The 18,927-nt window shown below is 36.9% G+C and overlaps 1 protein-coding gene and 1 long non-coding RNA gene across 35 annotated transcripts in view; both read right to left on the reverse strand.

Moving 5' to 3' along the window:
- The window catches only part of PEAK1 (pseudopodium enriched atypical kinase 1), a 320,261-nt gene that overhangs the window by 121,148 nt on the left and 180,186 nt on the right, over positions 1 to 18,927 (reverse strand). For 27 of the 34 annotated variants that reach the window (XM_047433077.1, XM_047433076.1, XM_047433057.1 and 24 more), the window contains one exon: positions 17,981 to 18,088. The exons of the other annotated variants lie outside the window; for them this stretch is intronic. The gene's annotated coding sequence lies outside the window, so the exon portion shown is untranslated. The remainder of the gene's footprint in view (positions 1 to 17,980; positions 18,089 to 18,927) is intronic. 34 annotated transcript variants of the gene reach the window in all.
- LINC00597 (long intergenic non-protein coding RNA 597) lies at positions 2,092 to 3,603 on the reverse strand. Its single transcript, NR_026813.1, has one exon. It is a non-coding gene; the product is annotated as a long intergenic non-protein coding RNA 597 (long non-coding RNA).

Below are 18,927 nucleotides of genomic sequence, written 5' to 3' on the forward strand. Positions count from 1 at the left end.
TCTGCAGGAATTTTGGGCCGAATCAAAGGCTCTGCCTGAAAAGATTACTAACCAAACAAATGTTGGCTTGCCCAGGTTTAGCATGCAACGCCAATTTTAAGTCGTGCTCCTCAAGGTGCCAGCTGTGTTCCTGATGATTCTCCTCTATACTATACTCAGTAAAAGAGTACAGTAAGAATGTCACTACTGGGGCATATCTTGGCCTCAAAAATTCAGGTGAGTTAGGATGGAATGGAATTAATTCTTTTTTTTTCTTTTTCAAAATAAAGTTGAGGATCTAAAATTTTTCTGAATCACAGGAATTCTAATGGACATTCAGAAGAATGATTTGACCCAAGTTTTCCAAAGGAAACTAATGAATAATTTTTTAAAACATGAAGTAGAAACATAAAAAAATGAAAACATACATTTAACCTTTTTCTTTCATAGAAAACAAATCACAAAATTTGTTTCTCCTTCTTTCTCTCTTCTTGTTTGCTGCCTTACAAATGAAATGCCTCACACTGAGAAAATTAAACAGTTTTTAATGCTTGTTTCATTCCACTCAGTGACAAGGATGTTTGTTATTAACTATTAAATGCCTACTATAATGCAGACAGTATACTATCCAAGTGTTTCATATATATTACTGCTAATCACTAATTATCCCAATGATCTTATGCATTTTACAGACTAAGGAATTTTCATTTTATTTTGATTTTATAGACTAAGGAATTGAGAGTCAAATAAATTAAGTAACTTGACCAAGGTCACACAGGTTCTACTGCAGAATCCACACTCCTTTCACATAATGATAGTTAAGTGGGAAAATCTCTGTTAATCAACTGGTCTTGGTGATTGATTTTTCTTGCAAGCAGAAACAATGAAAGGCTCTTCTGGGTCCCTTCACTATAGCCCTCTGGACAAACTCCAGACAAAGCCTGCTGGAACTCCAGAGAAAGCATGGAGCTCCCACTAATAAAAGGGCATGTCTTCCAGAGGCTATTTTCTTTGCCATAGAAAGCATAGCATTATGAAATAGTTCAAAATGGCAAAATAAAGCGCAAACAGATTTAATCTTACAGGCAAAAAGTCAAACAGAGTAAGAAGACAGGTGACACAGGTAACAAGGACAACTCTTTAGACTTCTGCCACTCAAAATACAGTCCACGAACTAGCAGCATTGGTAATACCTGCGAGCTTGTTAGAAATGCAGTGTCTCAGGCCCCACTCCAGATTTAGAATCAGTCCATGCTTTAGTATGTATATGAAAATTTGAGAAGCAATAATTTTAATTATAATTAAGTCACTAGTGACTAAATGACGGCCAAAACTGGTCTAAAGAGCTAGAAATTAGCCTATAGCCAACAAAGCTTCCAGAAACAAGATATTCTAATGCATTTCCCTCATTTGATTAATACTGTAAATTGTGAATTCACTTGCTAAGAGCCCTTTTGAAGCAAACTTGGAAGTCAGTATTCTATTATTTCAGTTCTACCTGGTAAGAACTTAGTTTCATTTGCACCTTTCACTCACTCACTCATAGCTTCCACCCAAGTACAAGCAAAGCAGCAGCACATGTTTAGTAGAGTTTTACCTTAGAGTAATCAGAGCCAAGATATGTTTTGTGGGGATAAAATGCATTTGTAAGCAAGAGCTGTCTTCATCAAAATTCAAGGTTTTCCACATGATTTAACTATCATAGCAAGCAATCTGGATATTACCCCACAAAACACATTTGTGTGTGTGTCGACAGTAGTCTCTAATACTGTGGCTAGTGGAAAGGAGTTATGGATTATTTTGTCAAGACAAAAGGTCTTGTAAAAATAACTTACTTCTCTTAAATAGCAAGCCAATACTCAAACTATTAGACTAGTGGGAAGAATGGTAATGCATTTGACCATAGAGAGAATACTTAATTAAATCTGCTAAGTGATTGATGATACTACCACTGTCCTGTTATATAAACTAAAACATCAAATCACTGTTGGATCCCTCTCTTCACTGAAAACAGTAGCTCTGCCAGATAGTTAAAAACAATTTCTGGAAATATCTGACCAGATGATGAGTTAATTTTGAAGGAAACCAATAGCCTCATTTGAGAGATTTTTTTTTTTTTTTTTTTTTTTACTTATTTATTGCTTACATCTGTTAGGTTTAGAAAACACTCATATGGAACAACAATGAAGACTGCTGTCAAAATCTGTCCCTTTGGTTATATTTTAAGAGAATCCTCTTTTAAACAAATTTTATTCATTTTCTTACTTTTTTGGACAGGGTTATTCTTTATCTCTCATAATAATTTAAAATATCTGAATCAAAATCCTCAAAATGTTTACAAAATAAGTAGTAGTTTTTTTTTTTCTACTTTAAGAATCTAACCAAAGGAAAACAAATTCAGACCAAAAGACTGAGATATTTTCTGGTTTCTAATTAGACTCTTCTACTTTATAACCTTGTAAACTAACATTCTTAACATTCCATAACAAAAAGGGCTGAAAAAAGGTTGGTTCACACAGATACTATCATAATGCAGGAAAAGGATTTGTGTTAGAATTCAATGTTCACATTAAATAAAATTTTCTTAATTATCTGGTTTTTACTAATACACTGTTCTTTTGTCTGATGGTGCCTTTCTTTCTGTGCTTTCTTTTCTCTTGCACTGACTGTCAACCTTGCTTAGAAGAGGGCTGATTTGTCTCTGACTTATCAGATGGTTAAAGTCTGCCTTATTTGAGTAAGCTCTTTAAAAATGCTGTTTTAGAAAGGTCAATTAGTTCTAAACAAAGATATTCAGTTCAGTAAGCAACTCCTATAGAGACACTTCCTACAGAGATAAGCCAATATTTCCTGTTGTGCTCTAGTGTACAAAGGGGCAAAGGAAGCTGTAAGTGAATGCACACTGTATCAGCTGGAGTCCCCAGAATTTATAATTTCTCACAGCACTTACGGGAGATTTCCACTGAGCTCCTACACCAGCATTTTCTAGAATTTTGCTGAATTATTTCATTTGTATGGAGAGAGGTGTTTCAAAATACATCCAATCTATCATGAAATCTGGATGATTTTTTTTCTCTGTGGTGATTTTTGGTTTTGCCCATCTCTTTCCATTTCCACAGCTGCACCTTTCACGTCTAGTTTGTTCTGGTGGTCTCCTATCTAATGTCTTTGCCTCTAGGTCCTCCCACTCCATCCATATGCAATCACAAATACAATGTTCCTCAATTAATTTCATCATGTGACTTGCTTGTTCAAAAATTTTAAGTAGCTCCCTATTTTTCAGCATATCAAACCCACATTTCTTAGCTTAGGTTTCAAAATCCTCCACATTTCAAATCAATGGTTATTTTGCAGAGAAGAAAACGGAGGCACTTTGAAGTAACTTGCCCAGGGTTACATAGTTAGAGGAATTGAGATCTCAGCTCAGGCAATCTCATTTCAGAGTTTAGGCTTTCAAGTATCACACTACATTATTCCTGTTAAGAGTCTGGTGTGTAACTGTTATGTTGCAATTGCATTGTATTTGTCTCCAGATATTTCCCCAACCACATTATTCTGAGACAGTACATTTCATTTGTATGTTCACACAAAACCTATATATAGCAGACAATTTATTTCATTAACTGGTGCTATACTAGAATAGTTTTTCAGATAAACCATAATGCCAAGCTTGCAACTGCTTGGAGTCAAAGATCGATAAAGATATAGGTGGTTAAAACTGTTTCCATCTATTTATATCCTCATCTGCTGCAGTTTCTGCTTAAAAATAGTTGTGACATGAAATTTTCCTATAAGGTGTTCTGGTCCAGAAGTAAGCAATGGTGAAATCTGAGCAAGACTTTCTACAGATGTGTGTGTGTGTGTGTGTGTGTGTGTGTGTATAATTTATATATATATATATATATATATATATATATGACAATTCTAGAAAGAAGTAGAAAGGGTACACCAAGCATGAAGTTATGTAATCTCTAACACTCGTAATGTTTACATTTGAAATAGTTAATATACTCTCTGTTTTTCAATATATGACGAAACACACAGTCATAAAGAAATGGCCCCTTCACTGAGAAGATATTGTGAATGTGTATTTCATAAGAGAATGCAGCTAGCCATAGTCTTGTTAAATGCTAGGCAAAGTTCATGTAAATGAAATGTTTATGCTGAGCATTACGCTCTAAGTATTTAATCGATCCTTAACCAAGAAAAAAAAATCAATGCTTTCTTTTTAATTCTGTCAGTCACAGCAACTGAAAATAAAGGGATATATATATATATATATATATATATATATATATATATATATATTACACACACATACACACATATATATGTGTGTAATGTAATACAGACAGGAAAGACCATTACCAGGAAACAGAACAATAGTTCTCTTTTCTCTTGTGGCTTTTTGCATTACATTATCAGTTAAACATTCTAAAGATATTTCAAGAAAAAAAAAAAACCCTGTCTTTGATATTTGATCTGAGATGTTTGAAAAGAAAATCTGAAACATTATCATTTACAAATCCAGACACTGACAACATAAACATATAAAGATGAAGTTGCCATGATAACGAATTAGGTATTCATATGTTTCACTGACAAAAATCCATTGTTCTATGGTTTTGCAACTAGTAAGTTTATGTCCCAAGTTCATGATATACCAGTATATCTGTTCTTAACATAAGACAATGAATAACTTTGTAACAGGGTCCAGAAATAATTAGCCACTCCAGAGAGTGTTGTGGAATTTGAAAACCGAGATGCCATGTATTTTCTCTGACACTATTTTCTGAATAGTCCAAATAAAAACTTGGAGGAAAGTTCAAAGCCCAAAATAAATCTGTCTCACGAAAAGATAGCTTGAGAAGTTCTGCATACTCTTCTGGATGCAGAAAAGAGCTACTGTGAGAAACACCTCACTCTTCATAAGTCAAGATGAAAACTGAGGATAATGTCATGCTACCAGAATAACAATAGTTACCACTTAACATATGCCAGGCACTTTTTATCTACTGTTTCCTTTAATCCCTCTACTTCCTTATAACGTATTACCACCCCTATTTTATAGACAAGGAAACTGAAGTTCAGAGAGATTTCGTGATTTGCTCATAGACCTAGGACTGGATCATACACTTAGATCATGGTATGTCTGAACTCTGGACTTAGATCTATCTAGCTCCAGAGTCTACAATTCTATTTTACTATATGGCAGTTGTCCTCAACCTTTAGTGCCTGTCACAATCATCTGTAATCTTTATTAAAATACAGATGCATGAGTTGCATTCCCATAGATCCTAAGCCAGCAGGTCTGAGAGGGGGCTCAAACATCTGAAACAGTTCAGGTACTTCTGATGTATATCAAAGGAAGAGAACTTGTATTTATTACTAGACTGGAAAAACAAAAATGGCAATCTAGAATAAGTTTATCATTTTGTAATTACTTGTTTTTCAGCAAATTTACCATTCTTATTACATATTTTGTAGGCATCCATTAAATCATCCCATTTTCTAATACATGATATCCCTAAACAAATAAGGGGGGTGGAGTAGTATAAGTAACACAGAGGCACATTGACTATAGTAGGAAGATCAAACAGGGGCTGATGGTTTTCTACCCATAATATGAAAATGAACAACATACAGACAGGAAAAGTAGAAGTAAGAGCAATATTGCTCTAATATATTAATATAGCACATACTTAGGATTAGACCAAGAAGAATAAAACCAAATAAATATACAGAAAACAACAATTTAGAAGAGTTCTGGGCTTAATCTTCAGAAGTTTACAATTTATAGAAATGAGATTTAAACACTTTAGATACAACCATCTCCAAAATGTTTTATGCTGTTTTGCTGCAGAGAATAAATAAGAAAAAAGTCCTATGATTTAATAATTTTTCTAGTAAATATATTTTTCTCTTAAGAAAATGAGGCTGGGCACAGTTGCTCATGCCTGTAATCCCAGCACTATGGGAGGCTAAGGCAAGAGGATAACTTGATCCCAGGAGTTCAAGACCTTCCTGGACAATATAGCAAGGCTCCAGGTCAACTAAAAAAAAAAAATTAGCCTGGTATGGTGGTGCTCACCTATAGTTTCAGCTACTTGGGAGGCTACTCAAGAGAATCACTTGAGCCCAGGGGTTCAAGGTTGCAGTGAGGTATGATCACATCACTGCGCTCCAGCCTGGGAGATACAGTGAGACACTGTCTCAAAAAAGAAAAAAGAAAAGAAGCTAATATTCTACATATATATTTTATCTATTCATAAATATTTGTTGGACACTTACAACATATAAGGTATTTTACTACTTTTTTATTATTTCTATTTTTTATTTATTATTATTATTATACTATAAGTTTTAGGGTACATGTGCACAACGTGCAGGTTTGTTACATATGTTTACATGTGCCATGTTGGTGTGCTGCACCCATTAACTCATCATTTAGTTACTTCTAATCTTTTACCAGTTGCATTATAATACCACGATTCTCATGTTCTAACATTTATGAACATGTACTTTCGAGTGGGCTCACAAAAATTATAGGGTGGCTAGCAGGCCTGTTCTGGGTCCCTATGGGTCATCAAAGATATGAGTTGACAATAAAATCAAGTTAGATAATTTGCTTTGGCCTGGAACTTGTGCAGAGCTTCTGATGCAGGACTTCATTTAATAAAGTTTGACCTGCAAGGGCCCTTAATGTTGCCTGGTCCACAGTCCTCATCAAACAGATGAAGATATTAAGGTGTAAAGAGAGAGAACAACTGGATTAAAATATCACACCTTTGCCCAGAACTTGCTGCTCTTTCACAGTCTAGCACAAACCCTGAGAGGATGGGTAGGTCCCAGGCAGGGCCCAATTATGACTTTTATGGGCTTTTGATACTTGTCTTTTTGGTGCTTTCCCCATTAAAAAAATTAAAAACTATACTTTATGACTACTTTGGTATGAAGACAAATATATTAATGTTATATATTAAAATACTTTGTTCAACAGTAAAAGGTATTTTCCTTCTAATTTTAAAAGACATTAAGTATTTTCATGTGCCCCTAAAAGTATTGAGGACTCTAGGTTCTAATGGGATAAGCTAGCCCTGGTTTCAGGTCCTTCATTTGACAGTCTGAACAGCATTACTCTCCTCTAGAAGACTTAGTTCTGCCATAGGGGACTCTTTATGTGGCTTCTCTATGACTCAGGATGTATTGGCCCTAGAAAGTTTGGCCTTTTATTATCAGGCTACTCCAGAGGTTCTCATTCCAGCAGCCAGTCAGGACCTACTTCCCCATTCTGAACCAGGCAGTCCCCTAGAAAACCATTCCAAGAGACTGTGGAGTACTCAACAGAGATCAGGTACCAAGTCCCTGGGAAAGAAAACAATCTCCAGGGCCTCAAATAAGATATACCTTTCTTAAGGCCTTTCTACTACATTTGAAAAAAACATGAGGCAGAGCACTTCATTGAAGTTTAGCACCTTTCACAATGTGGCTAGTAATAACCTGCAGAGACATCCTTACTCTAAGAACACAATGAAGATTTTCTGCACTAGGTATGATTTTGTTTCCAATACATTCAACTGTGTGAAAGGCTGTATCATTCATAAAATGGCAAGCAGGGAACAAATAACAAATTTCCTCTATTTACCCAATTTCAGAAAACTGCCATCTTAAAGCAGAATTTATTATTCTCATGGCACTCATCATTCTTATGGGTTTTACTTTAGGGTCCCCATGCATGAGGCTCAGCTCAAGTCCTCTCCTCTCCAGTAAATCAACATTAATAACTTCTCTCATGACCAGAGGTATCTGATTCCTGACCATTTTTGTTACATGCATTCCTCTTCTTTAGCTGTTTCTTTCTTTTCTTTCTTTTTTTTTTTTTTTGAGATGTAGTTTCGCTCTTTTTGCCCAGGCCAGAGTGCAATGGCACAATCTCGGCTCAAAGCAACCTCTCCCTCCCGGATTCAATCTATTCTCCTGCCTCAGCCTCCTGAGTAACTGGGATTACAGGCGTCCACCACCATGCCCAGCTAATTTTGTATTTTTAGTAGAGACGGGGTTTCACCATGTTGGTCAGGCTGGTCTCACACTCTCAACCTCAGGTGATCCGCCGGCCTTGGCCTCCCAAAGTGCTGGGATTACAGGTGTGAGCCACGACACCTGGATTTCTTTAGCTGTTTCTAACCTTTGATTCAACAAATATTATTTTGTGATTAATATGTGCCAGCTATGACATGGTATATACAAAGATTAGTAAAACAAGACACCATTCTCAAAGAGATAATTTCAAGTGAGGGGGAGAATAATATAAAATATACCAATATTTAAGACAGGGAAAACATTATAAATGCTATTATAAAATACTTATTGGGTGAAGGAAGTGTCTGGAAAGACATCATGCAAGTGACAGCATTTGAGATAAGTCTTTTTTTTTTTTGACACGGAGTCTTGATCTGTTGCCCAGGCTGGAGTGCAGTGGTGCGATCTCAGCTCAATGCAACCTCCACCACAGCTGTTCAAGTGATTCTCCTGCCTCAGCCTCCCAAGTAGCTGGGATTACAGGTGTGCACCACCATACCAGGCTAATTTTTGTATTTTTAGTAGAGACAGGGTTTCACCATGTTGGCCAGGCTGGTCTCGAACTCCTGACTCAAGTGATCCACCCGCCTTGGCCTCTCAAAGTGCTGGGATTACAGGCATGAGCCACTGTGCCCAGCCTGAGGGGAGTCTTAATGAGGACAGATTACTCAGAATTGGAAAGAAGGTGGAAGAGAAACAGCACAGAAGAGACACAGAAACAATGAGTGGGATCTATTTATCAAACAACAAGAAGTGAGCTGGGCACAGTGGCTCATACCTGTAATCCCACCAATTTGGAAAGCAAGGTGGGATGACTGCTAAAGGCCAGGAGTTTGAGACCAGCCTGGGCAACACAATGAGATTCTGTCTCACTGTGGCGGGAGGATCACTTGAGTCCAGCAGTTTGAGGTTACAGTGGACTATGATTGTACCACTACACTCCAGCCTAGGAGACAGAGTGAGACCCTGTCTCAAACAAGACAAAACAAAACAAAAAACCAAACCAACCACAAAAACCCAGTAAGAAGCATAATTTGGTTTATAGCATGTAGTACTAGTATGAAGAAGTAAAAACCAAAAATTAGGGGATAATATACACATCTAAAAGGAAAAAAAAAGATCTGAGACTTTATTGTGTTTAGTTTGTATTCTCTATAGGACCAGCCCAGTGTTGGGTGTAATATATAATATTTGATGACTGATTTAAGCTGTCATAAAAAGCATCAACAATGTATACAATAATCCAAAGGCATCTAATAATCACAGTAAATAAACAGTGATATGAGGTACTTGAAAAAAAGGCCCCCACCAAATTCATAATAAAACAGCTACAGTTAATTGAGAATAGATGTGGGGGAAACCATTCTAACCTTTCTTGCAATATAAATTCAGTAGTTAAAAAAAGTATAATAGGCTCCACTAATTTCATGATGTTTCTTCAGTGAAGCTCAGAAATAAATGCTACATATAAGTGGGTTTCAATAAAAAAGGAATCTCTACTGGTTTAACCTACTCTGTCCACTTTTCATCAAGTCTTTCAAGACAGGTGCAAATTGAATTTAATAAGAAAATTGCAATAGCTTTGCAAGCAAAGGGAAGTAGCTAAAATTAGACAAAAGTTTTACTGAGAACAAGTTGCACTTGCAGAATTAGGTATAACTCAGGTAATTAAAGATAACATCTTCCCTTTGGTTAACTGCCCAAATGAAACTGAAAGATCAGAATTTTCTTGTAAGTAAAAAAAAGTTTTAGAGTATAATTTTCTTTTCAGATATGGTCAAAAACTTCAAATTTGAAAAATAAATATAGATTCAAACCTCCAGAAATAAATGACAGGTTAAATATTTGAGTAATTAATTGCATATGAAATTGTAACATATGGAGGTAGAATGCAACAGCTGTTCATCTAATAATATATTTTAAAAGCTAAATTTATATGAGAATAATTGTTACACTCATTTCCTCCAAGCAGTAGTCTATTCACTACTGAAGTCTTGATAATCAGTATCTTCCTACACACTCATACAAATTCATTTTCTTAAAAGTACTTCTGACTATGTTTAAATAGATATACAGTGAAATTTGAAAAACAAAACAAAACAAAACACAGGTATTACTTTAATACTACTATTATGACCCAAAGCAATTGTGAAGGTTTCTTCAAGAGTGGCCCACAGCCCACAGGAATCATACTCACCTGAGATGTTTGCTTAAAATGTAGAGGCTTACTCCAACAATTCTTGGATCTCACTGAGATACAAAATCATTGCCCTTATCATTTTAATCAGTATTCTCACTTCGCTCTTTACCCATATTAAATTCCATGAACAATCATCATGTTTTCCATTTTGCAAACACTCTCTTGACTCTCCTTCCCTGTCTTTACTAGTAAAATGCCAACCCAACCATGAGCTTACACTAAGCCTGCTTCTGAGCAGATGAACAGTGTCAGGAAACACACACACACACACACACACACTGTGCCAACTGTGCTCACTTAAAATTTATTATCACAAATCTCAAATGGGGATTTAACACTGTCAGATACAGAATCCAATCACTTCTTTCTATATATTTACCTTTCCATTTTGAGATAAGAGTTTCACCAATCTTCTAGTCTTCTCAAATCTCTAACATCCCTTCCCCAGGTCACTCGCTACTTAGCCTCATACTTCAGCGGAAAAATAGATCCAACCAGATGAATTTCATCTCATGTTCCCCAAAATTCTACCAACCTAACTGCATCTACTCTCACACACACTGCCTTTTCTACCTTTACAATGGAAGAAGTGTTAATGTTCTTCTTTAAGGATAACCTTTCTACTTGTGGCCAGGATCTCATCCACTTGTGACTTCTCAAGGAATGTTCTTGAAATACCTTTCTTCTCTCTCTGTTTTGTTTTTAGATGGATTCTTGCTCTTGTCACCCAGGCTGGAGTGCAATGGTGTGATCTCTATTCACTGCAACCTCTGCCTCCTGGGTTCAAGCGATTCTCCTGCCTCAGCCTCCTGAGTAGCTGGGATAACAGGCACCTGCCACCACACCCGGCTAATTTTTTGTATTTTTAGTACAGACGGGGTTTTACATTGTTGGCCAGGCTGGTCTCGGACTCCTAACCTCAAGTGATCCACCTGCCTCGGCCTCCCAAAGTACTGGGATTACAGGCGTGAGCCACCGCACCCGGTCCTTTTTTCTCTTTTGCATCATCAGTTTCTCCATTCCAGATAATTCCCACTAGTGTATGAATGTGCCATAATCCCATTCATCCTAAAAAACAAAATAATTTTCCCTTGTACTCCGGTTTCCCTCTAAGTACCACTGCATTTCTCCATTACCTTCTAAAGCAAAACTACTTAAAAAGAGTGCCCTTCACTTTCTACCTTCCATTTTCTCCTCAATCCACTTAGTTCAGGTTTTTGTTCCCATCAGTTCAACAAAACTCTGCTAATTAAGGTGTCCAAAGACTGTATTTCCCCTAAGACCACTGGCTAATTCTCTGTTCTCACCTTATCAAACCTTTTATTATCATTTCATATAGTTGATTACTCCATTCTTCCTGGAGTATTTCCTTCTCTAGCTTCTGGGTTACCACACTTTTCTGGTTTTCTTTCCAACTCATTGTCCAGTTCCATCTTAGCCTATTTCATTGGCTTCTTCAGTACTAGATTTCTCAGTGTTGGAGTGACCAAAAATATCCCTATCTTCCTTTTCCCATCTTTATCCATTCTCTTGCCCTAAGGGATTTTATCCAATCCTGTGTATATCATCTAATTTATATTCTTATTACTCCCAAATTTTATTTCCAGTCCATTTCTCTATTTTGAACTCTAGTATTTTTTGTATAACCGTCTTCTTGACATCTCCACTTGGATATCACACTTAACAACAGTTCCTTCTTATAATTATTAATTCAGAGTTTTTACCATTCCTTATTACAATTTGAATAAAACATATTTTTCTGAAAACTACCCATTATGTCTAAGCATTCATGTTTATTTTATTAAACCTCTCTTTTTTTTGAAAGACATAGGGTCTCACTTTGTTGCCCAGGCTGAAGTGCAGTGGCATGATCATAGCTCCCTTCTGCTTCAAATTGCTGGGCTCGAGTGATGCTCCCACCTCAGCCTCCCAAGTAGCCATGACTACAGGTGGGTGTCACTGTACCTGGCTAATTTTTAAACTTTTTGTAGAGATGGGATCTTGCCAACTTGCCCTGGCTGGTCTTGAACTCCTAGACTTGAGTGATTCTCCCATCTCAGGCCCCTCAAAGTGTTGAGATTACAGGCATGAGCCACTGTGCCCACACAGCATTCACATTTATTACTGTAAACCTTATGCATAAAAGTTCTTATAATTTTACAAATTTCTGTAGTTTTAGTTATGCTTCCTTTTTAAATTACCAATATCGATTAATATATTTTCTTTCTTTTTCAGACTTGCCAAGATTTATCTATTTTATTTATCTTTTAATGAACACTGCTGTTGGATTTCTGCATTCATCCTTATTAATTTGGTCCTTTATTTTCTTTGAATTATTTTGTCATTCGTTTTAAAAATCTTTAACACAATTGTTTACTTATTTAAGCAAATAATTTAATTTTTATAAAATAAAGCATGCTTCCATGAAAAATGTAAGAAATACATAAAAGCACAAAATAGTAAAAGGAATAAATCAACCAATGTCCCATTACCCAGAAAGAAAAGGTGTTAATATTAGTGGAGTACCATTCCACACATCTCTCTAAGTATACACAGAAATGAATGGATGAACACACAGAATTGGAGAGATACTGAGATTACAGAAAATTTTTTTTTTAATTTAAAAAAAATTTGTGTAAGATCATAGCTCACTGCAGACTTGAATTCCTGGGCTCAAGAGATCCTCCTGCTTCATCCTCCTGAGTAGCTAGGACTACAGGTATGGACCACCATGTCCAGCTAATTAAAAAAAAATATATATATTTTTTTGAGACAGGGTCTTGCTCTGTTGCCCAGGCTGGTCCTGAATTCTTAGCCTCGAGAGATCCAATCCTCCCTTGAGAACTGGATCAAGGGGCGGTTTCCTCCATGCTATTCTCATGATAGTGACTGAGTTCTCATGAGATCTGATGGTTTTATAAGCATCTGGCGTTGCCCTTGCTTGCACTTCCTCTCTCCTGTCACCTTGTGAAGAAGGTGCCTTGCTTCCCCTTCACCTTCCACCATGATTTTAAGTTTCCTGCAGCCTTCCCAGCCATGCAAAACTGTGAGTAAATTAAGCCTCTTTCCTTCATATATTACCCAGTCTCAGGTATTTCCTTCTAACAATGTGAGAACTGGCTAATACAATAAATTGGTACCAAGGTCACAGGGGACTGCTGTAAAGATACCTGAAAATGTGGAAGTGACTTTGGAACTGGGTAACAAGCAGAGGATGGAACAGTTTGGAGGGCTCAGAAGAGGACAGGAAGATGTGGGAAAGTTTGGAACTTCCTAGAGACTTGTTAAATGATTTTGACCAAAATGCTGATAGTGATATGGACAATTAAGTCCAGGCTGAGGTGGTCTCAGATAGAGATAAGGCTTGGGAACTGCAGCAAAGGTGACTCTTGTGCATTACGCCTGTCCTAGAGATCTGTGGAACTTTGAACTTGAGAGAGATGATTTAGGGTATCTGGCAGAAGAAATTTCTAAGCAGCAAACTATCCAAGAAGAAGCAGAGCATAAAGGTTTGGAAAATTTGCAGCCTGAAATGTAATAGGAAAGACAAACCCATTTTCTGGGAATAAGTTCAAGCCAGCTGCAGAAATTTGCATAAGTAATGGGCAGCTGAATGTTAATCACCAAGACAATAGGGAAAATGTCTCCAGGGCACGTCAGACCTTCAAGGCAGCCCCTCTCATCACAGGCCTGGAGGCCTAGGAGGGAAAAATGGTTTTGTGGGCTGGGCCCAAGGTCCCCCCTGCTCTATGCTGTGTTAAGACATGGTGCCCTGCGTCCCAGCTGCTTCAGCTCCAGCATGGCTAAAAAGGGCCAAAGTATAGCCTGAGCCATTGCTTCAGAGGGTGCAAGCCCCAAGCCTTGGTGGCTTCCCTATGGTGTTGAGCCTGTGGGTGCACAGAAGTCAAGAAATGAGGTTTGGGAACCTCTGCCTAGATTTCAGAGGATGTACAGAAACACTCGGATATCCAGGCAGAAGTTTGCTGCAGGGGCAGAGTCCTCATGAAGAACCTCTGCTAGGGCAGTGTGGAAAGGAAACGTGGGGTTGGAGTCTCCACACAGAGTCCCCACTGGGCACTACTTAGTGGAGCTGTGAGAAGAGGGCCACCATCCTCCAGACCCCAGAATGGTAGATCCACTGACAGCTTGCACTGTGCGTCTGGAAGAGCGGCAGACATTCAGTGCCAGCCTGTGAAAGCAGCTGGGACGGGGACTGTACCCTGCAAAGCTGCAGAGGCAGGACTACCCAAGGCCATGGGAGCCCACCTCTTGCATCAGCATGACCTGAATGTGAGACGTGGAATCAAAGGAGATCATTTTGGGACTTTAAGATTTAATAATTGCCCTATCGTTTCCGACTTGCATGAGGCCTATAGTCCCATTGTTTTGGTCAATTTCTCCCACTTGGAATGGGTGTATTTACCCAATTCCTGTTCCCTCCATTGTAACTTGGAAGGAACTAACTTGTTTTTGACTTTACAGGCTCATAGGTGGATGGAACTTGCCTTGTCTCAGATGATACTTTGGAGTCGGGCTTTTGAGTTAATGCTGGAATGAGTTAAGACTGGGGGACTGTTGGAAGGGTAAGATTGTCTTTTGAAATGTGAGGACATGAAATTTGGGAGGGGCCAGGGATGGAATGATATGGTTTGGCTGTGTCCCCACCCAAATCTCATCTTAAACTGTAGTTCCCATAATCCCCAGGTATCATAGGAGGGACCTGGTGGGAAGTGATGGGATCATCGGGGCAGTTTCCCCCATGCTGTTCTAGTGATAGTGAGTGAGGTCTCATGAGATCTGATGGTTTTATAAGGGGGTCTTCTCCTTTCACTTGGCACTTTTCCTTCCTGCTGCCTTGTGAAGAAGGTGCTTTGCTTCCCCTTCGCCTTCTGCCATAATTGTTAAGTTTCTTGAGGTCTTCCCAGCCATGTGGAACCATGAGTCAATTAAATCTCTTTCCTTTATAAATTACTCAGGTGTGAGCTGCTGCACCTGGCTAGAAAATAATTTTTTTTAAAGTGGGCTTATACTATGAATGCAGTTTTTACAATAAGGAGATTTAATTTTACATGAATTAAACAGAAGAAACAAGTAACACTGAAGATATTAGTTACTTTTGGATAAATGTTTCACTAAAAAAGATTGTAAATCCTAAAATATTTCTACAAGATAAAGTACAAAAAGTTATAAAAATGATTAAAAATTTAAATTTCTCTAATATTCTAAGAAATGCATTAAAAACTGTAAATTTCTTCTGAGTAAATTTTGACACCATCCCACAGGTTTTCATATGTAGGGCTCTTGGCATCATACATTTCTAAAATGTTTGTTATTTCCCATTTTTACTTTATTTTATTCCTGCTATTTAAACTTTTTTTTTTTTCAAATATCCAGTTTTACCTTCTGTGGTCTGTGAACATGGCGCCTATAATTTTCTTTTAATATTTGTTTACATTTCCTTGTGTTTTAATATTTGATCAATTTTTGTGACTGTTTCTTGTATACTGAATGTTTATCTCTACATATCAATTACATTAAGCTCATTAACTGCTCATGTTACATAAATATATGTATTTATTTTTTTCTACTTTGTTCTGTCAACTTCTGAAAGATGTGTGCTAAAATCTCCCACTATGATCTTGGTTTTTATCACATTAAAAAAATTATTAGATTTCTTCTCTTTATGTCAAAGCTATATTGCTAAGTGAATTCATATCTATAAAACAATTTACCAAGATGATAATGAAATATCTCTTCGTTTCTTTTAATTGAATGAGTTTTTGCTTTGAATTCTCTTGCTATGCCTACTACTTTTTATTTGCCTGATTAATCTTTTTCTCAACCTTCTAGTCTATGTTTTATGTGCTCCTTGTAAACAGCAAACATTTTTCAAACTGATTTGAGAGGCTACCCTTTAATAAGTGAATGCAACCATTCTACATTGTATTTCTATTTCTCATGTTTTCTTATAGCTTCTGTATTTTCTTTTCCAGCTATATGCTGCCTTTACTGAATTTTCTATGTTCCATTTTTCTTTCTCCCTAATGGTTTTGAACGAAAATATTGTTTCTTTTCGTCTAGTAATTATGCTTATCATGAGTACTGCATGTCTAAAAAATGTCAGTTTTATAATTTGGGCAGGTATTGAACTCTTAAGTACAAAATTATTTTCCCAAAGAATTTTAAAATATACTATCCCACTATCTTTTTGCATCCAGCATTAGTAATTATAGGATTATTGCTGGTTGCTACTCTTTCTGTCTATCCTCAGTGTCTCTCAACTCGCCTTTTTTTTCTTCCTGTTTGTCCTTTCTTTTGAATTGCTAACTTCAAAAAGCTCTAAAGTTTTCTTTTTTGATGAATGCAGTGTCATCCTGCATGTCTCTGAGGACAGTAATTATATTTATTCTAAAACTCTTGTTTTGCTTTCTTTATTAACTCTTATCCCTTGGGCATTAGTTCTTCCATTTATATAGTTTGGTACTCTCCTTCATGATATTAGTTTTCTTCAAATATTTTGTGATTCTGGGTTGTGACCCTATCTTTTTTGGACTTTAGAGATATCCTATTAGTCTGTGATGGCTGTATGTGATTACAGTAGCATGAGTCGGGGGAGAAAGATGTGCCACCGGGTAGTTAAAATGGATAGTTAGTGTTCTAGGGGTTTCCTATCTGTTCTGGATATTGACAGCATTGGGAGTACTCCCTTGGCTTTTAAATCACCCAAATTTCTTGTTTTTGCATGTCAAACACCAAGAAAAAACTGTGAAGGTAGGGAGAGGTAGTTCTACATGTCTCCTTGTCCAGGAGGCTAGACATAAAGAATCCCCAAATAGCCATTCATACCTTTTGCAGTATTCCAGTCCTACACATATTTTAGATTATAGTTCTTATCTGCATTCTAATGCCATTTATCAAGGGCTCTCCATGGTTTTTGGAAGTTTTGCTGTTTCCTATCACAGTTGTATTTAATTGGTACTATATATTCTATAGAGAGGGAGAGGAGGATTATTTTTAGGAATGTGTAGTAGCAAGGAGAGGTTGCAGCATGTTCTCAATGTACCATCTTGTACTGAAGTTTCAAATAGATATGTTTTGGCAGAGATAAATGGACAATATTGTACATACTTTTAAGGGAAAATGTGCTTTTTTACTATACGTTCCCTTCTACTAAAATATGATCTCATAATAGTAAGAAGGGGGTGTTTATCCAGTAGTTTCTAACTCTAGATGCACATTACTCAAATATCAAAGTGTAACCCCAGAAATTCTATTTTAATTGAACAAGGGTAAGAAACACTGGTACAGTAGCAGAAAAACTGCAGGTTAGGGATCAGACTAATTTGAGTTCAATCACCACTTACTAAATTATATGACTTTAGGCAAAAACAACATTTTGAGCCTTAGTTTCTTCAGCTGTAAATTGGGTTTACAAAATTGTGGTGAGGACTAGAGATAATATAAGAAGAGAGACTAGTATCATGCATGGCAAACAGCATATGCTTATTAAATGTTAGCTCTTCTAATGCTATGTATAAGTAAGTAGATGAAAAACATGGCATAAAGGAAGATCAAGTGAAATAGGATGTCCCTTCATACGTCAAAATCTTACAATGACTAAAATTTAATTCCAGATGTCACAGGAGCTGACAATCATTACCAGATTTACAAACTGAGCAAGATTATGGGATTTACAGAGTATTCCTGTCACATATTACATACCTCCTGGGCTCTTTTAACATTCTTCTTTCAATGCATCTTTCAAAGACCACTCTCTAGGAAATCACACAACTGCTCAATTCCACATTTCCAAATTTGAGAGAGTAAAATCTGTCAATAATAATGGCAACCTAATTATATGTTTCTGTTTGTATTTTTTAAAATACTATGACAAATAGATGAGCACTTTTAAGTTGCAGGAAATAAGAATAACTAGAAAGCTGTGGATCCCAGAAATTAAAGAAACTTTAGTGTCTTCCAGGCAGGAAATTATCCAAACCTAATTACAACCAGCTGGAGACAGCTCCATTTTCAGGAATGCTTAGATACTAGCAAAACACAGTGATGCCCATTTGCTGACAAGTAAATGCTCATATCTTTATCATCTGTGTCATTCAGAAACATTCATATGCCACTTGGCAAAACAACTTCTTAATAGGTAATATTCATTGAATTCTTATAAAAGTTTTAATTCATTTCCAAATACAACTATAATACTTCACTATTTCAACATTAGAGAAAAATTATTTTCTCTTGTTTCTTTACAAATGTTTTGTTTGGCTGGGTGTAGTGGCTCACACCTGTAATCCAAGCCCTGTGGGAGGCCAAGGTGGGAGGATCATTTGAGCCCAGGAGTTCAAGACAAGCCTGGGCAACACAGGAAGTCCGTCTCTACAAAAAATAAAAAAAAATGAGCCTGGTGTAGTGGCTTGTGTCTTTAGTCTCAGCTACTTGGGAGGCTGAGGTGGGAGGACCTGCTTGAGCCCTGGAGGTTGAGGGTGCCGTGAGCCTGGGCAATAGAGTGAGACCCTGTCTCAAAAAAAAAAAGCTTATGTTTATAAATTATTAATGATCATATACATTAAACAATATGGCCTCAGTTTTAAAAACTTTATTGTAAAAGTAAATCTACGGGTGTAATCATAGTAAAACTGACAACACCACCTTCA

This window comes from Homo sapiens, chromosome 15 (assembly GCF_000001405.40).
Source record: "Homo sapiens chromosome 15, GRCh38.p14 Primary Assembly".
NCBI classification, from domain to species: domain Eukaryota; kingdom Metazoa; phylum Chordata; class Mammalia; order Primates; family Hominidae; genus Homo; species Homo sapiens.